This window comes from Homo sapiens, chromosome 12 (genome assembly GCF_000001405.40).
Source record: "Homo sapiens chromosome 12, GRCh38.p14 Primary Assembly".
NCBI lineage: Eukaryota > Metazoa > Chordata > Mammalia > Primates > Hominidae > Homo > Homo sapiens.
In genome coordinates, this window is record NC_000012.12 from 55,590,252 (window position 1) to 55,615,982 (window position 25,731).

The 25,731-nt window shown below is 39.7% G+C and overlaps 1 pseudogene, besides 1 other annotated feature; it reads left to right on the forward strand.

The window, feature by feature from the left end:
* Positions 4-564: an enhancer, noted in NCBI's record as "H3K27ac-H3K4me1 hESC enhancer chr12:55984039-55984599 (GRCh37/hg19 assembly coordinates)". NCBI's record gives its function as "activates a minimal SCP1, AML or CMV promoter by ChIP-STARR-seq in naive H9 embryonic stem cells {active_cell/tissue: H9 hESC(naive)}" and the evidence as "EXISTENCE:reporter gene assay evidence [ECO:0000049][PMID:30033119]".
* Positions 21,372-22,303, forward strand: OR6U2P (olfactory receptor family 6 subfamily U member 2 pseudogene; annotated as a pseudogene).

Genomic DNA, 25,731 nt, shown 5'->3' on the forward strand with positions numbered 1-25,731 from the left:
AACAGCGCACCACGAGATTATATCTGGCACCTGGCTCTGAGGGTCCTACGCCCACGGAGTCTCGTTGATTGCTAGCACAGCAGTCTGAGATCAAACTGCAAGATGGCAGTGAGGCTGGGGGAGGGGCGCCCACCATTGCCCAGGCGAGCTTAGGTAAACAAAGCAGCCAGGAAGCTCGAACTGGGTGGAGCCCACCACAGCTCAAGGAGGCCTGCCTGCCTCTGTAGGCCCCACCTCTGGGGGCAGGGCACAGACAAACAAAAAGACAGCAGTAACCTCTGCAGACTTAAATGTCCCTGTCTGACAGCTTTGAAGAGAGCAGTGGTTCTCCCAGCACGCAGCCGGAGATCTGAAAACAGGCAGACTGCCTCCTCAAGTGGGTCCCTGACCCCTGACCCCCGAGCAGCCTAACAGGGAGGCACCCCCCAGCAGGGGCACACTGACACCTCACACAGCAGGGTACTCCAACAGACCTGCAGCTGAGGGTCCTGTCTGTTAGAAGGAAAACTAACAAACAGAAAGGACATCCACACCAAAAACCCATCTGTACATCACCATCATCAAAGATCAAAAGTAGATAAAACCACAAAGATAGGGAAAAAACAGAACAGAAAAACTGGAAACTCTAAAAAGCAGAGTGCCTCTCCTCCTCCAAAGGAACGCAGTTCCTCACCAGCAATGGAACAAAGCTGGATGGAGAATGACTTTGACGAGCTGAGAGAAGAAGGCTTCAGACGATCAAATTACTCTGAGCTATGGGAGGACATTCAAACCAAAGGCAAAGAAGTTGAAAACTTTGAAAAACATTTAGAAGAATGTATAACTAGAATAACCAATACAGAGAAGTTCTTAAAGGAGCTGATGGAGCTGAAAACCAAGGCTCGAGAACTACATGAAGAATGCAGAAGCCTCAGGAGCCGATGCGATCAACTGGAAGAAAGGGTATCAGCAATGGAAGATGAAATGAATGAAATGAAGCAAGAAGGGAAGTTTAGAGAAAAAAGAATAAAAAGAAATGAGCAAAGCCTCCAAGAAATATGGGACTATGTGAAAAGACCAAATCTATGTCTGACTGGTGTACCTGAAAGTGATGGGGAGAAAGGAACCAAGTTGAAAACACTCTGCAGGATATTATCCAGGAGAACTTCCCCAATCTAGCAAGGCAGGCCAATGTTCAGATTCAGGAAATACAGAGAATGCCACCAAGATACTCCTCCAGAAGAGCAACTCCAAGACATAACTGTCAGATTCACCAAAGTTGAAATGAAGGAAAAAATGTTAAGGGCAGAGAGAAAGGTCAGGTTACCCTCAAAGGGAAACCCATCAGACTAACAGCAGATCTCTTGGCAGAAACTCTACAAGCCAGAGAGAGTGGGGGCCAATATTCAACATTCTTAAAGAAAAGAATTTTCAACCCAGAATTTCATATCCAGCTAAACTAAGCTTCATAAGTGAAGGAGAAATAAAATACTTTACAGACAAGCAAATGCTGAGAGATTTTGTCACCACCAGGCCTGCCCTAAAAGAGCTCCTGAAGGAAGTGTTAAACATGGAAAGGAACAACCGGTACCAGCTGCTGCAAAATCATGCCAAAATGTAAAGACCATCAAGACTAGGAAGAAACTGCATCAACTAATGAGCAAAATAACCAGCTAACATCATAATGACAGGATCAAATTCACACATAACAATGTTAACTTTAAGTGTAAATGGACTAAATGTTCCAATTAAAAGACACAGACTGGCAAATTGGATAAAGAGTCAAGACCCATCAGTGTGCTCTATTCAGGAAACCCATCTCACGTGCAGAGACACACAGAGGCTCAAAATAAAGGGATGGAGGAAGATCTACAAGCAAATGGAAAACAAAAAAAGGCAGGGGTTGCAATCCTAGTCTCTGATAAAACAGACTTTCAACCAACAAAGATCAAAAGAGACAAAGAAGGCCATTACATAATGGTAAACAGATCAATTCAACAAGAAGAGCTAACTATCCTAAATATATATGCACCCAATACAGGAGCACCAAGATTCATAAAGCAAGTCCTGAGTGACCTACAAAGAGACTTAGACTCCAACATATTAATAATGGGAGACTTTAACACCCCACAGTCAACATTAGACAGATCAACGAGACAGAAAGTCAACAAGGATACCCAGGAATTGAACTCAGCTCTGCACCAAGCAGACATAATAGACATCTACAGAACTCTCCACCCCAAATCAACAGAATATACATTTTATTCAGCACCACACCACACCTATTCCAAAATTGACCACATACTTGGAAGTAAAGCTCTCCTCAGCAAATGTAAAAGAACACAAATTATTACAAACTATCTCTCAGACCACAGTGCAATCAAACTAGAACTCAGGATTAAGAATCTCACTCAAAACTGCTCAACTACATGGAGACTGAACAACCTGCTCCTGAATGACTACTGGGCACATAATGCAATGAAGGCAGAAATAAAGATGTTCTTTGAAACCAACGAGAACAAAGACACAACATACCAGAATCTCTGGGACGCATTCAAAGCAGTGTGTAGAGGGAAATTTATAGCACCACTAAATGCCCACAAGAGAAAGCAGGAAAGATCCAAAATTGACACACTAACATCACAACTAAAAGAACTAGAAAAGCAAGAGCAAACACATTCAAAAGCTAGCAGAAGGCAAGAAATAACTAAAATCAGAGCAGAACTGAAGGAAATAGAGACACAAAAAACCCTTCAAAAAATTAATGAATCCAGGAGCTGGTTTTTTGAAAGGATCAACAAAATAGATAGACCACTAGCAAGACTAATAAAGAAAAAAAGAGAGAAGAATCAAATAGATGCAATAAAAAATGATAAAGGGGATATCACCACAGATCCCACAGAAATACAAACTACCATCAGAGAATACTACAAACACCTCTACGCAAATAAACTAGAAAATCTAGAAGAAATGGATAAATTCCTTGACGCATACACTCTCCCAAGACTAAACCAGGAAGAAGTTGAATCTCTGAATAGACCAATAACAGGATCTGAAATTATGGCAATAATCAATAGCTTACCAACCAAAAGAGTCCAGGACCAGATGGATTCACAGTCGAATTCTACCAGAGGTACAAGGAGGAGCTGGTACCATTCCTTCTGAAACTATTCCAATCAACAGAAAAAGAGGGAATCCTCCCTAACTCATTTTATGAGGCCAGCATCATTCTAATACAAAAGCCGGGCAGAGACACAAGCAAAAAAGGGAATTTTAGACAAATATCCTTGATGAACATTGATGCAAAAATCCTCAATAAAATACTGGCACACCAAATCCAGCAGCACATCAAAAAGCTTATCCACCATGATCAAGTGAGCTTCATCCCTGGGATGCAAGGCTGGCTCAATATACACAAATCAATAAATGCAATCCAGCATATAAACAGAGCCAAAGACAAAAACCACATGATTATCTCAATAGATGCAGAAAAGGCCTTCAACAAAATTCAACAACCCTTCATGCTAAAAACTCTCAATAAATTAGGTATTGATGGGATGTATCTCAAAATAATAAGAGCTATCTATGACAAACCCACAGCCAATATCATACTGAATGGGCAAAAACTGGAAGCAGTCCCTTTGAAAACTCACACAAGACAGGGATGACCTCTGTCACCACTCCTATTCAACATAGTGTTGGAAGTTCTGGCCAGGGCAATTAGGCAGGAGAAGGAAATAAAGGGTATTCAATTAGGAAAAGAGGAAGTCAAATTGTCCCTGTTTGCAGATGACATGATTGTATATCTAGAAAACCCCATTGTCTCAGCCCAAAATCTCCTTAAGCTGATAAGCAACTTAGCAAAGTCTCAGGATACAAAATCAATGTACAAAAATCACAAGCATTCTTATACACCAACAACAGACAAACAGAGAGCCAAATCATGAGTGAACTCCCATTCACAATTGCTTCAAAGAAAATAAAATACCTTAGAAATCCAACTTACAAGGGATGTGAAGGACCTCTTCAAGGAGAACTACAATCCACTGCTCAAGGAAATAAAAGAGGATACAAACAAATGGAAGAACATTCCATGCTCATGGATAGGAAGAATCAATATTGTGAAAATGGCCATACTGCCCAAGGTAATTTACAGATTCAATGCCATCCCCATCAAGCTACCAATGACTTTCTTCACAGAATTGGAAAAAACTACTTTAAAGTTCATATGGAACCAAAAAAGAGCCCGCATCGCCAAGTCAATCCTAAGCCAAAAGAACAAAGCTGGAGGCATCACACTACCTGACTTCAAACTATACTACAAGGCTACGGGAACGAAAACAGCATGGTACTGGTACCAAAACAGAGATATAGATCAATGGAACAGAACAGAGCCCTCAGAAATAACGCCACATATCTACAACTATCTGATCTTTGACAAACCTGAGAAAACCAAGCAATGGGGAAAGGATTCCCTATTTAATAAATGGTGCTGGGAAAACTGGCTAGCCATATGGAGAAAGCTGAAACTGGATCCCTTCCTTACACCTTATACAAAAATTAATTCAAGATGGATTAAAGACTTAAACATTAGACCTAAAACCATAAAAACCCTAGAAGAAAACCTAGGCATTACCATTCAGGACATAGGCATGGGCAAGGACTTCATATCTAAAACACCAAAAGCAATGGCAACAAAAGCCAAAATTGACAAATGGGATCTAATTAAACTAAAGAGCTTCTGCACAGCAAAAGAAACTACCATCAGAGTGAACAGGCAACCTACAAAATGGGAGAAAATTTTCGCAACCTACTCATCTGACAAAGGGCTAATAACCAGAATCTACAATGAACTCAAACAAATTTACAAGAAAAAAACAAACAACCCCATCAAAAAGTGGGCGAAGGACATGAACAGACACTTCTCAAAAGAAGACATTTATGCAGCCAAAAGACACATGAAAAAATGTTCATCATGACTGGCCATCAGAGAAATGCAAATCAAAACCACAATGAGATACCATCTCACACCAGTTAGAATGGCGATCATGAAAAAGTCAAGAAACAACAGGTGCTGGAGAGGATGTGGAGAAATAGGAACACTTTTACACTGTTGGTGGGACTGTAAACTAGTTCAACCATTGTGGAAGTCAGTCTGGCGATTCCTCAGGGATCTAGAACTAGATATACCATTTGACCCAGCCATCCCATTACTGGGTATATACCCAAAGGACTATAAATCATGCTGCTATAAAGACACATACACACATATGTTTATTGCGGCATTATTCACAATAGCAAAGACTTGGAACCAACCCAAATGTCCAACAATGATAGGCTGGATTAAGAAAATGTGGCACATATACACCATGGAATACTATGCAGCCATAAAAAAATGATGAGTTCATGTCCTTTGTAGGGACATGGATGAAATTGGAAATCATCGTTCTCAGTAAACTACCACAAGAACACAAAACCAAACACCGCATATTCTCACTCATAGGTGGGAATTGAACAATGAGATCACATGGACACAGGAAGGGGAACATCACACTCTGGGGACTGTTGTGGGGTCGGGGGAGGGGGGAGGGATAGCATTGGGAGATATACCTAATGCTAGATGACGAGTTAGTGGGTGCAGTGCACCAGCATGACACATATGTATACATATGTACCTAACCTGCACAATGTGCACATGTACCCTAAAACTTAAAGTGTAATAATAAAAAGAAATAAAAAATAAAAAATAAAAAATAAAAAAAATAAAAATTACAAAAAAAATTATCAAGTAGTTTACTCTTAAAAACATTTAAAAAATTAAAAATTTCATAACATTCTAAAAAAAAAACCATAATACACCATGACTAAGTGGGATGTATCCCAGGAATGCAATGATGTTCCAACATAGGCAAATCAATAAATGTGATTCATCATATAAAACAGAATGGAGGACAAAAACCATATGATCATCTCAATAGATGAAGAAAAGATACCTGATAAAATTCAATATCCCTTCATGATAAAAACTCTCAAAAAATTAAGTATGGAAAGAAAGTACCTCAACAGAATAAAGGCCTTATATGACTAAACCCATTATACTGAATCTAATGTCTAACATACTGAAGCTAACATTATACTGAAAGCTTTTCTTCTAAGAACTGAAACCAGACAAGGGAGTACACACTCACCACTCATTCCACATAATTGAAGTCCTAGTCAAAGTAATTAGGCAGGAGAAAGAAATGAAAGGCATTCAAATTGGAAAGGAGGAAATCAAGTTGTCTCTGTTTATATATAAAAAATCCTAAAGACTCAACCTAAAAACTCTTAGAACTGAAAAGTAAAGTCGTAGGATACAAAATCAGCATGCAAAAATCAGTAGCATTTCTATACATGAACAACTAACTAGCTGAAAAAATAAATAAGGCAATCCCATTTACAATAGCTATTAAAAATAAAATAGCAAGGAATAAATTTAATGAAGGAAGTGAAAGACGTCTGCAAGGAAAACTACAAAACACTGATGAAAGAAACTAAAGAGGATACAAACAAATGGAAAAGATATCACATGCTTGTAGGTCAGAAGAATTAATATTGTTAAAATGACCATAATCCTAAAGCAATCTACAGATTCAATGCAATCCATATCAAAACACCAATGACATTCTTCACAGAAATAGAAAAAAAAATCTTAAAATGTGTATAGAACCTCAAAAGACTTCCAATAGGCAAAGCACTCCTGGACAAAAAGAACAAAGCTAAAGGCATCACATTACCAGGCTTCAAAATATACTACAAAGCTGTAGTAACAAAAACAGCATGGTACCGGCATGAAAACAGACACATAGACCAATTGAATAGAATAGATAACACAGATATTAATACACATATCTATAGCCAACTGATTTTGACAAAGGCACCAAGACAGTCTTGGGGAAAGGACAGTCTCTTCAAGAAATGGTGCTGGGGAAACTGGATGTCCATATATAGAAGAATGAAACTAGACTCCCACCTCTCTCCCTACAAAAATCAACTCAAAATGGATGGAAGACCTAAATGTAAGACCCAAAACTATAAAACTTCTAGAAGAAAACGAAGGGGGGAATCTTCATAACATTGGTCTGGGTAATGACTTATTGGATATAACAACAAAAGAATAAGCAACAAATATAAAAATATAGACAAATTAATTACATCGAATTTAAAACCTTCTACACAGTGAAGGAAACAATCAACAGAGTGAGGAGGCAATCTATAGAATGGGAGAAAATATTTGCAAACTATTTATCTCACAGGAGATTAATATCCAAAATACATAAGGAACTCAAACAACTCAGTAGCAAGAAAACAAATAACCTAATTTAAAAACAGGCAAAGGACCTAAACAGAAATTTCTCAAAGGAAGACATACAAATGACAACAGGTATATGAAAAAAAAATGTTCAACATCACTAATCATCAGAAAAATGCAAATCAAAACCACATGAGCTATCACCTCACTCCTGTTGAAATGGTTATTACCATCTGGGTGTGTGGCTTATGCCTGAATCCCAGCACTATGGGAGGCCAAGGCAGGAGGATTACTTGAGCCCAGGAGTTTGAGAATAGCCTGGGGAATATAGTGGGACCTCATCTCTACAAAAAATAAAAATAAAAAATAAATACTGGGGGCACTGTGGCATCTCTACAAAAAAAAAATAGTGGGGTCACTGGGACCTATAGTCCTAGCTACTCTGGAAGGTGAAGTGGAGAGTTCATTTGAGCCCAGAAGATGGAGGTTACAGTGAGCTGAGATTGTGCCACTGCACTCTATGCTGGAAAACAGAGAGAGACTCTGTCAAAAAAAAAAAAAAAAGGATTGTGGGGCCAAGATGGCCAAATAGGAACAGCTCCAGTCTACAGCTCCCAGCATGAGCAATGCAGAAGATGGGTGATCTGCATTTCCAACTGAGGTACCGGGTTCATCTCACTGGGGAGTGTCGGACAGTGGGTGCAGGACAGTGGGTCCAGCACACTGAGCGTGAGCAGGGCGAGGCATCATCTCACCCAGGAAGTGCAAGGGGTCAGGGAATTACCTTTCCTAGTCAAAGAAAGGGATGATAGACAGCACCTGGAAAACTGGGTCGCTCCCACCCTAATACTGCACTTTTCCAACAGTCTTAGCAAATGGCACACCAGGAGATTATATCCCGTACCTGGCTCAGAGGGTCCTATGCTCACAGAGCCTCGCTTGTTGCTAGCACAGCAGTCTGAGATCAAACTGCAAGGTGGCAGCAAGGCTGGGGGAGGGGCGCCCACCATTGCTGAGGCTTGAGTAGGTAAACAAAGCGGCTGGGAAGCTCGAACTGGGTGGAGCCCACCATAGCTCAAGGAGGCCTGCCTGCCTCTGTAGACTCCACCTCTGGGGGAAGGGCATAGCCAAATAAAAGGCAGCAGAAACCTCTGCAGACTTAAATGTCCCTGTCTGACAGCTTTGAAGAGAGTAGTGGTTCACCCATCACACAGCTGGAGATCTGAGAATGGACCGGCTGTCTCCTCAAGTGGGTCCCTGACCCTGAGTAACATACCTGGGAGGCACCCCCCAGTAGGGGCAGACTGACACCTCACACAGCCAGGTACTCCTCTGAGACAAAACTTCCAGAGGAATGATCAGGCAGCAACATGTGCTGTTCACCAATATCCACTGTTCTGCAGCCTCCGCTGCTGATACCTAGGCAAACAGGGTCTGGAGTGGACCTCCACCAAACTCCAACAGACCTGCAGCTGAGGGTCCTGACTGTTAGAAGGAAAACTAACAAACAGAAAGGACATCCACACCAAAGCCCCATCTGTATGTCACCATCATCAAAGACCAAATGTAGATAAAACCACAAAGATGGGGAAAAAACAGAGCAGAAAAACTGGAAACACTAAAAATCAGAGCACCTCTCCTCCTCCAAAGGAGCACAGCTCCTCACCAGCAATGAAACAAATCTGGACAGAGAATGACTTTGACAAGTTGAAAGAAGAAGGCTTCAAACAACCAAACTACTCTGAGCTAAAGGAGGAAGTTCAAACCCATGGCAAAGAACTTAAAAACCTTGAAAAAAATTAGACAAATGGAATAATCAATGCAGAGAAGTCCTTAAAGGACCTGATGGAGCTGAAAACCAAGGCACGAGAACTACATGATGAAGGCGCAAGCCTCAGTAGCTGATTCAATCAACTGGAAGAAAGGGTATCAGTGATGGAAGATCAAATGAATGAAATGAAGTGAGAAGAGAAGTTCAAAGAAAAAAGAATGAACAGAAATGAACAAGGCCTCCAAGAAATATGGGACTATGTGAAAAGACCAAATCTACATCTGATTGGAGTACCTGAAAGTGACAGGGAGAATGGAACCAAGGTGGAAAACACTCTGCAGGATATTATCCGGGAGAACTTCCCCAATCTAGCAAGGCAGGCCAGCATTCAAATTCAGGAAACACAGAGAATGCCACAAAGACACTCCTCGAGAAGAGCAACTCCAAGACACATAGTTGTCAGATCTACCAAAGTTGAAATGAAGGAAAAAATGGTAAGGGCAGCCAGAGAGAAAGGTCGGGTTACCCACAAAGGGAAGCCCATCAGACTAACAGCGGATCTCTTGGCAGAAACTCTACAAGCCAGAAGAGAGTGGGGGCCAATATTCAACATTTTTAAAGAAAAGAATTTTCAACCCAGAATTTCATATCCAGCCAAACTAAGCTTCATAAGTGAAGGAGAAATAAAATACTTTACAGACAAGCAAATGCTGAGAGATTTTGTCACACCAGGACTGCCCTAAAAGAGCTCCTGAAGAAAGCACTAAACATGGAAAAGAACAGCTGGTACCAGCCAGTGCAAAAACATGCCAAATTGTAAAGACCGTCGAGGTTAGGAAGAAACTGCATCAACTAATGAGCAAAATAACCAGCTAACATCATAATGACAGGATCAAATTCACACATAACAATATTAACCTTAAATGTAAATGGGCTAAATGCTCCAATTAAAAGACACAGACTGGCAAATTGGATAAAGAGTTAAGACCCATCAGTGTGCTGTATTCAGGAAACTCATCTCACGTGCAGAGACACACATAGGTTCAGAATAAAGGGATGGAGGAAGATCTACAAGCAAATGGAAAACAAAAAAAAAGACAAGGGTTGCAAACCTAGTATCTGATAAAACAGACTTTAAACCAACAAAGATCAAAAGAGGCAAAGAAGATCATTACATAATGGAAAAGGGATCAGTTCAACAAGAAGAGCTAACTATCCTAAATATATATGCACCCAATACAGGAGCACCCAGATTCATAAAGCAAGTCCTTAGAGACCTACAAAGAGACTGAGACTCCCACACAATAATAATGGGAGACTTTAACACCCCACTGTCAACATTAGATGGATCCACGAGACAGAAAGTTAACAAGGATATCCAGGAACTGAACTCAGCTCTGCACCAAGTGGACCTAATAGACATCTACAGAACTCTCCACCCCAAATCAACAGAATACACGTTATTTTCAGCAACACACCACACCTATTCCAAAATTGACCACATAGTTGGAAGTAAAGCACTCCTCAGCAAATGTAAAAGAATAGAAATTATTACAAACTGTCTCTCAGACCATAGTGCAATCAGACTAGAACTCAGGATTAAGAAACTCACTCAAAACCGCTCAACTACATGGAAACTGAACAACCTGCTCCTGAATGACTACTGCGTACATAATGAAATGAAGACAGAAATAAAGATGTTCTTTGAAACCAACGAGAACAAAGACACAACATACCAGAATCTCTGGGACACATTCAAAGCAGTGTGCAGAGGGAAATGTACAGCATCAAATGCCCACAAGAGAAAGCAGGAAAGATCTAAAATTCACACCCTAATATCACAATTAAAAGAACTAGAGAAGCAAGAGCAAACACATTCAAAAGCTAGCAGAAGGCAAGAAATAACTAAGATCAGAGCAGAACTGAAGGAAATAGAGACACAAAAAACCCTTCAAAAAATTAATGAATCCAGGAGCTGGTTTTTTGAAAAGATCAACAGAATCGATAGACCGCTAGCAAGACTAATAAAGAAGAAAAGAGAGAAGAATCAAATAGATGCAATAAAAAATGATAAAGGGGATATCACCACAGATCCCACAGAAATACAAACTACCATCAGAGAATACTATAAACACCTCTATGCAAATAAACTAGAAAATCTAGAAGAAATGGATAAATTCCTCGACACATACACCCTCCCAAGACTAAAGCAGAAAGAAGTTGAATCTCTGAATAGACCAATGACAGGATCTGAAATTATGGCAATAATCAATAGCTTACCAACCAAAAAGAGTCCAGGACCAGATGGATTCACAGCCAAATTCTACCAGAGGTACAAGAAGGAGCTGGTACCATTCCTTCTGAAACTATTCCAATCAATAGAAAAAGAGGGAATCCTCCCTAACTCATTTTATGAGGCCAGCATCATCCTGATACCAAAGCCTGGCAGAGACACAAGCAAAAAAGAGAATTTTAGACAAATATCCTTGATGAACATTGATGCAAAAATCCTCAATAAAATACTGGCACACCAAATCCAGCAGCACATCAAAAAGCTTATCCACCATGATCAAGTAGTCTTCATCCCTGGGATGGAAGACTGGTTCAATATACGCAAATCAATAAATGTAATCCAGCATATAAACAGAACCAAAGACAAAAACCACGATTATCTCAATAGATGCAGAAAAGGCCTTTGACAAAATTCAACAACCCTTCCTGCTAAAAACTCTCAATAAATTAGGTATTGATGGGATGTATCTCAAAATAATAAGAGCTATCTATGACAAGCCCACAGCCAATATCATACTGAATGGGCAAAAACTGGAAGCAGTCCCTTTGAAAACTGGCACAAGACAGGGATGCCCTCTCTCACCACTCCTATTCAACATAGTGTTGGAAGTTCTGGCCAGGGCAATTAGGCAGGAGAAGGAAATAAACGGTATTCAATTAGGAAAAGAGGAAGTCAAATTGTCCCTGTTTGCAGATGACATGATTGTATATCTAGAAAACCCCATTGTCTCAGCCCAAAGTCTCCTTAAGCTGATAAGCAACTTCAGCAAAGTCTCAGGATACAAAATCAATGTATAAAAGTCACAAGCATTCTTATACACCAATAACAGACAAACAGAGAGCCAAATCATGAGTGAACTCCCATTCACAATTGCTTCAAAGAGAATAAAATACTTAGGAATCCAACTTAGAAGGGATGTGAAGGACCTCTTCAAGAAGAACTACAAACCACTGCTCAATGAAATAAAAGAGGATACAAACAAATGGAAGAACATTCCATGCTCATGGATAGGAAGAATCAATATTGTGAAAATGGCCATACTGCCCAAGGTAATTTAAAGATTCAATGCCATCCCCATCAAGCTACCAATGACCTTCTTCACAGAATTGGAAAAAACTACTTTAAAGTTCATATGGAACCAAAAAAGAGCCCGCATCGCCAAGTACATCCTAAGCCAAAAGAACAAAGCCGGAGGCATCACGGTACCTGACTTCAAACTATACTAAAAGGCAACAGTAACCAAAACAGCATGGTACTGGTACCAAAACAGAGATATAGATCAATGGAACCGAACAGAGCCCTCAGAAATAATGCCACATATCTACGACCATCTGATCTTTGACAAACCTGAGAAAACCAAGCAATGGGGAAAGGATTCCCTATTTAATAAATGGTGCTGGGAAAACTGGCTAGCCATATGGAGAAAGCTGAAACTGGATCCCTTCCTTACACCTTATACAAAAATTAATTCAAGATGGATTAAAGACTTACATGTTAGACCTAAAGCCATAAAAACCCTAGAGGAAAACCTAGGCAATACCATTCAGGACATAGGCATGGGCAAGGACTTCATGTCTAAAACACCAAAAGCAATGGCAACAAAAGCCAAAATTGACAAATGGGATCTAATTAAACTAAAGAGCTTCTGCACAGCAAAAGAAACTACCATCAAAGGAACAGGCAACCTACAGAATGGGAGAAAATTTTCACAACCTACTCATCTGACAAAGGGCTAATAACCAGAATCGATAATGAACTCAAACAAATTTACAAGAAAAAAACAACCCCATCAAAAAGTGGGTGAAGGATGTGAACAGACACTTCTCAAAAGAAAACATTTATGCAGCCAAAAGACACATGAAAAAATGCTCATCATCACTGGCCATCAGAGAAATGCAAATCAAAACCACAATGAGATATCATCTCACACCAGTTAGAATGGCGATCATTAAAAAGTCAGGAAACAGCAGGTGCTGGAGAGGATGTGGAGAAACAGGAACACTTTTCACTGTTGGTGGGACTGTAAACTAGTTCAACCATTGTGGAAGTCAGTGTGGCGATTCCTCAGGGATCTAGAACTAGAAATACCATTTGAGCCAGCCATCCCATTACTGGGTATATACCCAAAAATTATAAATCATGCTGCTATAAAGACACATGCACACGTATGTTTATTGTGGCACTATTCACATTAGCAAAGACTTGGAACCAACCCAAATGTCCAACAATGATAGACTGGATTAAGAAAATGTGGCACATATACACCATGGAATACTGTGCAGCCATAAAAAATGATGAGTTCATGTCCTTTGTAGGGACATGGTTGAAGCTGGAAACCATCATTCTCAGCAAACTATCGCAAGGACAAAAAAACCAAACACCACATGTTCTCACTCATAGTTGGGAATTGAACAATGAGAATACAAGGACACAGGAAGGGGAACATCACACACCGGGTCCTGTTTTGGGGTGGGGGGAGGGGGGAGGGATAGCATTAGGAGATATACCTAATGTTAAATGACGAGTTAATGGGTGCAGCACACCAACACGGCACATGTATATATATGTAACAAACCTGCACCTTTGCATATGTACCCTAAAACTTAAAGTATAATAAAAAAAAATCAGAAATGACACAAATAAATGGAAAAACATTCCACCCTCACAGACAGGAAGAATCAATATCATTAAAATGGCCATGCTGCCCAAAGCAATTTATAAATTCAATGCTATTCTTATTAAACTATCATTGGCTTCCTTCACAGAACCAGAAAAAACTATTTTAAAATGCATATGGAACCAAAAAAGACCTCGAATAGCCAAGGCAATCCTAAGCATAAAGAACAAAGCTGGAGGCATCACGCCACCTGACTTCAAACTATACTATAGGGCTACAGTAACCAAAACAGCATGATACTGGTACAAAAACAGACACATAGACCAGTGGAACAGAATAGAGAGCCTAGAAATAAGGCCACACACCTACAACCATCTAATCTTCGACAAAGCTGACAAAAACAAGCAATGGGAAAATGACTCCCTATTCAATAAATGGTACTGGGGGAACTGGCTAGCCATATGCAGAAGATTGAAACTAGACCCTTTCCTTACACCATATACAAAAATAAACTCAAGATTGATTAAAGACTTAAATGTAAAACCCAAAACTATAAAAACCCTGGAAGACAACCTAGGCAATACCATTCTGGACATAGGAACAAGCAAAGATTTCATGACAAAGACACCAAAAGTAATTGCAACAAAAGCAAAAATTGGCAAAGGGGATCTATTTAAACTAAAGAACAGCAAAGGAAACTGCCAACAGAGTGAACAGGCAACCTACAGAATGGGAGAAAATTTTTGCAAACTATGCATCTGACAAAGGTCTAATATATATCTATAAGGAACTTAAATTTACAAGAATAAAAACAAACAACCTCAAGTGGGCAAAGGACATGAATAGACACATTTCAAAAGAAGGCATGGCATACATGCGGCCGACAATCATATGAAAAAAGCTCAACATCACTGATCATTAGAGAAATGCAAATCAAAGCCACAATGAGATATCATCTTACACCAGTCAGAATGGCTATGATCATTAAGTCAAAAAATAATGTTTGCTGGCAAGGTTGCAGAGAAAAAGAAACACTTATACACTGTTGGTGGGAGTGTAAATTAGTCCATCCATTGTGGAAGACAGTGTGGCAATTCCTCAGAGATCTAAAAGCAGAAGTACCATTTGACCCTGTAATCCCATTTCTGGGTATATACCCAAAGGATTATAAATCATTCTATTATAAAGACACGTGCATATGAATGTTCACTGCAGCACTGTTCACAATAACAAAGACATGGGATCAACCTAAATGCCCATCAATGGCAGACTAGATAAAGGAAACGTGGTACACATACAACATGAGATACTATGCAGCCATAAAAAAAGAACAAGATCATGTCTTTTGTGGGAACATGATTGGCACTGAAGGCTATCATCCTTAACAAGCTAATTCAGAAACAGAAAATCAAATACTAAATGTTCTCACTTATAAGTGGAAGCCTAATGATGAGAACACATGGACACATTGAGGGGAATGACACACACTAGGGGCTGTCAGAGGATGGAGGGTGGGAGGAGGAAGAGGATCAGGAAAAATAACTAATGGGTACTAGACTTAATACCTGGGTGACAAAATAATCTGTACAACAAAACCTCATGACACAAAGTTTACCCGTACAACAGACCTGCACATGTACCCCTGAACTTAAAATAAAAGTTAAATTTAAAAAGAGAAACTGAAACTATGACATGAACATACATAATCCTTACTCTATTGCTATGTACCTAAGTAGAATTCATTACATTAAATTGATATAGTGATGGTAATTATAATAAATATTTTCCAAGTAAAAAAATAACAAATGTTGGCAAGGCTGTGGAAAAAAGGGACTGCTTATACTCTGTTGGCGGGAATGTAAATCAGTTCAGCCACTGTGGACAGCAGTTTGGAGATTTCTCAAAGAACTAAAAATAGAACTACCATTTGACCCAATACCCATTACTGAGTATATATATCCAAAGGAAAATAAATTGTTCTACCAAGAAGACATGCACTCATATGTTCATCACAGCACCATTCACAACAGCAAAGATATGGAATCAACCTAGGTGCCCATCAATGGTGGAGTGGATAAGGAAAACATGGTACATATATAACATGAAATATTATACAGCCATAGAAAAGAACAACATCATGTCCTTTGCAGCAACATAACTGCAGCAGGAGGATATTATCCTAAGCGAATTAATGCAGAAACAGAAAATCAGATACCACATGTTCTCACATATAAGTTAAACATCAGGTATACATGGACATAAAGATGGGAACAATAAACACAGGACTACACAAGGATGGAGGAATCGAGAGAGGCAAGGATTGAAAAACTACCTATCAGGTACTATACTCACTACCTGGGTGATGGGTTCAATCATACCCTAAACCTCAGCATCATGCAACATACCCATGTAACAAACCTGTACATGTACCCTCTGAATCTAAAATAAAAGTTGAATTTTTTTAATTAATTAAAAACAAAAGATGAAAAAAGACTTTCATTCTGTCTTCCCCATAATCATATCTCAGCATCTTCAACATTGCCATGCCTAGCGTATAGCAGAAACTCCACAAATATTTGCTAAATGAATTGCTGAATATATGAATGGTTCAGTATTTCACATCCACCAGTTTTCTTTCTCTTTTGTTATGAAATCTGTATGCACTTTATCAGTAATTCTTAAATAGTTCGGCTTTGGTATTCTTTGGGTTGCACTGAGTTTGTTCATTTTTAAATACTTTTCATGAGTGTTTTATAACACTATATATTATCTGTATACATCTGCAATAGTAATATTGCTACACCATCTCCTCTTCTAGTTGTTTTATCTCAAGAAAAACACATCAGAAAAAATTCAGAGAAAGACATTGTAGGATGGTTTCTTTTTGTTTGTTTGTTTGTTTTTGTTTGGATGGTTTCTATCATGGCCATAGAAATGATTAAGAGTCTTCAGGGAAAGCAGGCAAAAAGGGAGAATGGATTTCAGGTGAGATCAGGAAGGGCATAGGAAAAGTAAGCAGAAACCTCTTCACTCCAGAATACAAGAAGTGTAAGGAAAGGCTCTTGAAGCTTGAAAACATTGAAATTAAGACAAACAAAAAGACATCCTAGTTCACACCATGCCATTATTAGCTATAAGGTGCTATTAGAAGCTGAAAAATTAAGACTAAGGAAAGGAAAAAGAATTGTGCAAGATCCCCGTGTTAGCAGCAGAACTGCGACTAAAATTTAAGTTGTCTGACTTCTGATGTAGCATAGTACATTCGCACCATGCAGAGCTACCCATGTGCAGTGCAAAACCCGAGCATGTTTTAGCAATAAAATTTTAATGCAAATTAAAACTGCTGAACAGGCTGGACATTCATAGATGACTGTGGCTGGACTTACCAAAATTGTGACAAAGTTGTCTTTGATGCCTTCCCCTCCACTTATCAGTTCTCAAAAATATTTACCCAATTGATGTTGCCAACTACATTATTAACAACTGACAGTAACACAAATATTTATTTAGGGGTAAGTTCTTAGGTAAATATTTTGTCATCTTCTCTGAAGATTTTTTGCAAATTGTTTTGCTTACGAGGCCAGAGCAGCCATATTCTAAGTTCATTAGTGAATTCTGAGAGCAGATTTCCCTGAGCACCGTTTGTTTTTGTTCCCCCGCCTCTGAATTGATCCCCTGGGTCTGTAGTAAAAGAGTCTATAAAGCAAATGTCCCTTTCCTTTGGATGGAACCTGTGCAGAAGCCTCTTACATGACCGGAAACTTCAGAACCTTAGATTCCCAGCGGAAATCATGCGCCATGATAAAAAGGGGAAGAGGTTTCCAGCTTCAATTCAGATTCTAACCCTCTGCTATGTGGTTTGGATGCTGACTGAGCAACAGAATTGTCTCTGTAGATAGCTATGTTTTTGGATTGTTGCTGCTGAAGGGACAGGTAGGTTGGAGAAGGCCAGAGAGAAATGAAGGCAGTCAAAAACAAATTTCTATGGAAACTTAATCCTGAAATTATTTCTACAGAGTTGCCTCCACATTTTTCTGCAAGGCTGAGCTCTTTTCATGAAACCACGTAGGCCATTTGGGCCTTTAAACTCTCTGCTCCCTCTTTAGGGAATCGTTAGAGATCTGAGGAGCTTGTGTTCTCCCTGGGCTGGTGAATCTCTGAGGCTGCTTCCCAGGTAACCAGTCGCTGTACAGAAAGGAAGGGAGCTGCATGTCACAGCTTGCCTTGCCAGACCACAGAAGTCACCCAAGACCAAGGTTTCTAAATCATTCAGCAAATTCCCTATGGCCTGGTGGGAGCTCTCTCTTTTTAAGCTGAAAAAAACTGAAGCTGAAGAACTGCTTCTCCTCCCCAGAAATGGGCCTTTTTGCAAACACTGGCTGGTTGTAGGTGGGAAGACCGATAGCAAATCCCTAGGCAAGAATTCTCTCCAAACTTTATAAATTCATATATCCCATCAGTAAAAATAAAATTGGGAAAATATCCCCAATATATGGGTATGTTTATCAATGTTTAAGTTATTTGCACTACTACTATATATATAGTTTGTGTTTTAAAATATACACAAAAACAGACTTTTTTAAGCTACAGAGCTTTGGAGGCTGGTTGTTTTTTATTATTATTATTTTTTATTTCCAAATGTTATTGGGGAACAGGTGGTGTTTGGTTACATGAATAAGTTCTTTAGTGATGATTTGTGAGATGTTGGTGCACCCATCACCCAAACAGTATACACTGAATCCAATTTGTAGTCTTTTATCCCTCACCCTCCCAACTCTTTCCCCATGAGCCCTAAAGTTCACTGTGTCATTCTTATGCCTTTGCATCCTCATAGCTTAGTTACCACTTATTAGTGAGAATATGTGATATTTGGTTTTCCATTCCTGAGATACTTCACTTAGAATAATAGTCTCCAATCTCATCCAGGTTGCTGCAAATGCCTTTAATTCATTCCTTTTTATGGCTCAGTAGTAGTCCATTGTGTGTATATATATATATATATATATATATACCACAACTTTGCAATTGCAAATTGTGCTGCTATAAACATGCATGTGCAAGTATCTTTTTCGAATAATGACTTATTTTCCTCTGGGGAGACACCCAGTAGTGGGATTGCTAGATCAAATGATAGTTCTACTTTTAGCTCTTTAAGGAATCTCCACACTGTTTACCACAGTGGCTGTACTAGTTTACATTCCCACCAGCAGTGTAGAAGTGTTCCCTGTTCACCACAGCCATGCCAACATCTACTGTTTTTTTATTTTTTTATTATGGCCATTCTTGCAGGAGTAAGGTGGTATTGCATTGTGGTTTTGATTTGCATTTCCTTGATCATTAGTGATGTTGAGCATTTTTTTATATGTTTGTTGACCATTTGTAGATATTCTTTTGAGAATTGTCTATTTGTGTCCTTAGCTCACTTTTTGATGGGATTGTTTGTTTTTTCTTACTGATTTGTTTGAGTTTCTTGTAGATTCTGGATATTAGTCCTTTGTCAGATGTATAGATTGTGAAGGTTTTCTCCCACTCTGTGGGTTGTCTGTTTACTCTGCTGACTGTTCCTTTTGCTGTGCAAAAGCTCTTTAGTTTAATTAGGTCCCAACTATTTATCTTTGCTTTTATTGCATTTGCTTTTGGGTTCTTGGTCAGGAAATCCTTGCCTAAGCCAAAGTCTAAAGGGCTTTTCCAATGTTATCTTCTAGAATCTTTATAGTTTCAGGTCTTAGATTTAAGTCCTTAATCCATCTTGAGTTGATTTCTGTGTAAGGTGAGAGATGAGGATCCAGTTTCGTTCTCCTACATGTGGTTTGTAAATTATCACAGCACCATGTGTTGAATAGGATGTCCTTTCCTCACTTTATGTTTTTGTTTGCTTTGTTGAAGATCAGTTGGATGTAAGTATCTGGGCTTATTTCTGGGTTCTCTATTCTCTTCCATTGGCCTATGTGCCTATTTTTATACCAGTATCATGCTAAAAACAGATGTTTTTAATGAGCTAAAGATAAATGCCATAGTTCATTAACTTCAAGACACCCATTTTAACATCTTTGAGATTGAGATTATATTATACTCAATGGTATCTTAGCATAATGCCATAGTCTTCTTGGCAGTCTTTTTTCTTTCTTAATGGCACATAAAATAATAGTGTATTTCATATTAGATTGTATCCTAGATTTTATGAAATATCATATAACTTGAAGGATCTCATATCTCCTTCTCATATCCCAGTGGATCACGTGGCATATCCCATGATGTGAGCAGCCTCCCCATTTAAAGACCAGTGACATAGGCCATGGAGTTTCTGGGCCATCAGTCTCAAATAAAAAAAAGAGAGAGTGAATCACTCTTAAGATTTTTACAGATTTCTCCAGGGGGAAAAAATCCCTTTTCTACTCAATAAAATAACAAGCCTGAGAGCCTTAGTGAATCTGATCATGGCAAGAAAATACTCAAGTGGCTCCCAGTTATGTTTTAGAATCTCACTGTACCTTAGACCAATAGTTAATTTCTCTGGATTTTCCCTTCCTTATCAGAAGATGAGTGTGATAAGCCTCACTGGGTTTCATTTCTATAGATGACTATCAAATGCCAGGCCCCAGGAATGAATATGAGAGAGGGGAGTGAACAAGGATGAGTAAGATATTCGCTATCTTCAAATCTCTTACAGTTCAGATGCAAATGTCAGGCAGTTTTTAATGATGATCTAGTGTAAGAAAATGGCAGGGTAAGTGAAAATGGCTTCTTCTTCCAAAACTACATGCTACATATGCAAGCAATACTTTACAAACTAGGAGGCTTTGTTGTGAATGCAGATCTGAGAAGGCCAGTGCCTCTACTGGAAAGGGGGAGGTAAGTGCTAAGATACCCAGATGAACATAAAGTCTGTGAGCTCAATGTGTTGGTGGTTTAGCACAGAAGACAGGCTCTAGCCTATACAGCTGACTATGGAATATAGCAGAGGCAAAAACTATGTTATGGGAGCCATGAGGAAGCAGCTAATTCAGCCTAGGACTTCAGAAAAGTCTTCATAGAAGAGGTCACACTTGAGCTGGATTTTGAAAGATGAGTGAGTGACAGTTCTAAAGAGGACTGAGAAGAGCAGCAGAAAATTCTTTGTAGGCTTTCTCAGAGGGAAAAAAACGGAAGGAATAAAAGAAAAAAACAGGGAGGAATAAAGGGAGGGAGACAGGAAAGTCATTGTCATTCAATAGTTCCTCAGATTCTGAAAGAGGCAACTTTTCTTGCTAGGGAAGAACCTCCAGAAGCTTCTGCTCTGCTTTCCTGAATCCATGGGGAAGCAGCAGGGAGGGGGAAAGAAATGATGCATTTCAGGAGAAATTTTTCCCTTTTCATCCTAATTTCTGATGGTCCTATTTGCCCAGAATTGCACATTTCTGGAAAGGGCTTGAGGTCCACAATGGCCAATCAGACTGTGGTGACTGAGTTCTTCCTCCAAGGCCTGACGGATACCAAAGAGCTTCAGGTGGCTGTTTTTCTGCTCCTGCTGCTTGCCTACCTTGTGACTGTCTCTGGGAACCTGATCATCATCAGCCTGACCTTGCTGGACACCCGCCTGCAGACATCTATGTACTTATTTCTCCAGAATCTGTCCTGCTTAGAAATTTGGTTCCAGACAGTCATCGTGCCCAAGATGCTGCTCAACATTGCCATGGGGACCAAGACCGTTAGCTTTGCTGGGTGCATTACCCAGGACTTTTTCCACATCTTCTGGGGGCCACAGAGTTCTTCCTCCTCACAGCCATGGCCTATGACCAGTATATTGCCATCTGCAAGCCCCTCCACTACCCCATGCTCATAAGTAGTAGAGTCTGCACACAGCTCATCCTCACCTGCTGGCTACTAGGTTTCTCCTTCATCATCATGCCTGTCATCCTGACCAGTCAGCTTCCATTCTGTGATACCCACATCAAGCATTTCTTCTGTGACTACACGCCTCTAATGGAGGTGGTCTGCAGTGGGCCAAAGGTGCTGGAGATGGTGGATTTTACCCTGGCCTTAGTAGCACTGTTTGGCACCTTGGTACTCATCACCCTGTCCTATGTCCAGATCATCCAGACAATTGTCAGAATCCCCGCTGTCCAGGAGAGGAAGAAGGCTTTCTCTACCTGTTCCTCTCATGTCATTATGGTTACCATGTGTTATGACAGCTGCTTCTTTATGTATGTCAAGCCCTCTCCAGGAAAGTGGGTTGATGTCAACAAGGGAGTGTCTCTAATCAATACAATTATTGCCCCACTGTTAAATCCCTTCATCTGTACTCTGAGGAACCAACAAGTTAAGCAGGTAATGAAAGACCTAGTCAGAAAAATGACTTTGTTCCAAAATAAATAAGGGCCCTAAAAGTCATCTTCTGGGGAAAAAATGGGTGCCTTCTCCAGAGTAAGTCCACATGACATCAGGCCAAGAGGCAGGAGTCAGGGGCTTAGGCCCCCATTGCACCCCCAGCAAGGTGCAGGTTTCCCCACAGGCCATAAGGAAAATGTCCTGATATCATATGAAGAGTCTTATTACCTAGCCTCAGTCTTAGGTTTGCACCTTCTTTTATCACTCTGTCAGCCAAAGAAATGAGAAATAGCTAGCCTATGTCCCCAGGTGCCCTCAACTAGACTCCAGTAACAGCTGACATTCGTCAGCATGCCAGTTTCATTTTTAACACCTATAATGTTTGTAGAACACTTCATAGTTTCAAAAGCATTTTCTCAACACTAACCTCACTCAATCTTCACAATAACCCTGCGAAACAGATGGAAAAATTATTATTTACATTTTACATAAGATGTTGATATACTCAAACAGTTTAAGTGTATTGCCAAAGATCACACAGGAGACCAGGGTTCAAACCCACAACTTCTGGATCTAAACGCAATACCACATTTCCTACAGATGTGAGACATCTGGATTTAATAGTCATCTTTTGCTGCACGCAAATTATCCCAAAATTTAGCAGCTTAAAACAGCAAGCATTGATTATCTTGGTTTCTATGGGTTAGTAATTTGGGTTCAGCTTAACTCAGAGCAGCTCAATAGGGCTGTTGTCTCATCTAAAGACTCTACTGGGGGTGGGGCATGGTGGTTCATGCCTATAATTCCAGCACTTTGGGAGGCTGAGGTGGGTGGATCACCTCAGATCAGGAGTTTGAGACCAGCCTGGCCAACATGGGAAAACCTCATCTCTACTAAAAATACAAAACTTAGCCAGTCATGGTGGCATACACATGTAGTCCCATCTACTCAGCAGGCTGAGGCAAGAGAATTGCTTGAAACTGGAAGGTGAAGGTTGCAGTGAGCCAAGATCATGCCACTGCATTCCAGCCTGGGTGACAGAGTGAGACTCCATCTCAAAAAAAAAAAAAGACTCAACTAGGGAAGGATTAACTTCTGAGCTGCTCACTCCAGTTGCTGTTAGCAGGCTCTAGTTCCTCAGTGATTGTTGCCATGTGGGCACTCTATAAGAAAGCTCATAACATGGCAGCTGGCCTTCTTTAGAGCAAACAAACGAAAGAATGGCCAAAACAAAAGTGTTTTATAACCTAATGTTAAAAGTGACATCACATCATTTTTATCATATGCTATTTGTTAGAAGTAAGTCACCTAGTCCAGCCCATATTCAAGAAGAGGTGAGCACACAAAGACATGAATATCAGAAGGCAGGGATGATTTGGGAAACATTACATGCAGCCTATTACAATCTACCCTCTGGCACAGTCCACCAATGATTCATGTCCCTCCCACATGCAATATATATTCCACCCTTCTCGAAGTCATCAAAGGTCTCATCTTGTTATAGTTTCCAATCAAAATCCACAATCTTATCATCTAAACCAGGTCCAGGTGTAGATGAAGCTCCTTGGGTGTAGTTCCATAGGTACATACAGCCCCTAACTACTTTTCTCAATCTGTGACCTGTGAAACTAAAAAAGACAAGTTAACATCCCCACACACACCCAACATACAATGATGGGGTAGGCATAGAATAACTATAACTATTGCCACTCAAAAACAGGAAAAGAAAAGGAATTACTGGTCCAGAAAAATTATGAAATCCAGCTGAAAATGATGGAAACTCCTTAACTCATTCAAAACTTGGGAGTAATTCATTATTCCTCTTGGGCCCTTGGTCCTGCCCTCTGAGTCATTTTTTCCTTTTTCATGAAAAGTAGCACACAATTGTAGCTGAATAGTTTTCTCAGCCTTCTTCCTCCCAGTAGAATTACAGTGACCCAAATGCCTCTTTCTTATTTTGTACTGTCTTCTTTTCAATCCAAGATGACAGAGTTTCTGGGGATATAACTCATTCGGGAACTTTATGGATCTCCAGTGTATCTTCTTGATGCTTGCTTCATTAGATAAAAACCACAGCTAAGGCCTGAAAGATCTTTAAAGGTCCTGGTATCCCTATTATTTTATTGAAAGGACCACTGAAACACATTCTTAATTTCTTTAAAAGGTCTTTTGTGCCTGGTACTTAGGCACCACCTTGATATTTCTGAGGTCTTAAAGTATTACAGTCACACTCTTGATATCACCTCTGGACTAGTTTTCCTGACAGTGCCCTGTCAGGAATTAAGAAATTAAAATTAAGAAACCATTTCTTAATTTTAGCATCATTTATCATTAGAAGAGAATTTCAAAAACTATCAAGTCCTGGATCCATCCTGTTTAACAGTGTTTACTTCAACTTTCCTCTCTCCTCTCACTATAACTGTCAGGAAGAAATCAAGTGGCACCTTCAACACTTTGCTTAGAAATTTCCTTAGCTAGATTACACAGTTCACATTTTCCACTTTCCACTTAACTGCAGGAGACAGTGTTGCTAAACTTTTGTCGCTACATAACAAAGGTCCTTCACCAGTTTCCAGTAAGATTTTCTTCAGTTTCCTGAAAGCCTTCATCCATAGCATCCTCAAAGTCCAAAATTCTACAGAAAGTATTTTCAAAGTTAAGCTTTCACCACTAGTCTTCTAAAATCCTTAAAAGTTTTCCAGCTTCTACCCACTCCCTAGCCCCAAAGCCATTCCTACATTTTAGGTAGTTGTTATGGCAGTACCCCTCTTCAAAAGCTGTATTTGCTATCTATTGCTGCTTAACAAGTTACTTCCAAAATCTAGTGGCTTAAACAGCAAACATCTATTATCTCACAGTTTCATTGATTCAGGAATCTAAGTGTTGATTAGCTGAACTACTCTGGCTCAAGATCTCTCATGTAGTTGCCATTAACCTGCCAACCAGGGCTATGGTCTCATCTGAAGGCATGACTGAGGGAGGACCTCCTTCCAAGCTCACATCTATGGTTGCTAGCTAATTTTAAATCCTCATCAGCTGTTGTATTCCCTCAATTTCTTGTCATGTAGCCCTCTCCAAAAGATAATTTAAAACATGACCACTGGATTCCATCAAGCTGAGTGAATAAGAAAGTACCCAAGATAAAAGCCAGTCTTTTTGTAACCTAATCTAAGAAACATCATCCCATCACTTTTGCCATATTTTATTTGTTAGAAGTAATTCACTATATCAACCCTATACTCAAAGGGTGGGGATTACACAAGTGAATAAACCAAGAGGTAAAGACTATTGGGGGCCATCTTAAAGGCTGCCTATCCTGTGGGCTTAGCCTCTTTATTTTACAAATGAGGAAACTGAGGCCAAGAGCTCATGGCCCTCCACTAGGGAGTTGTTCAATGTAAACACTCATTATACCCATTTCAATTAACAGTATAAAAAATTGTGTTCAATTTTTAGAAAACAAAAATGAGTGA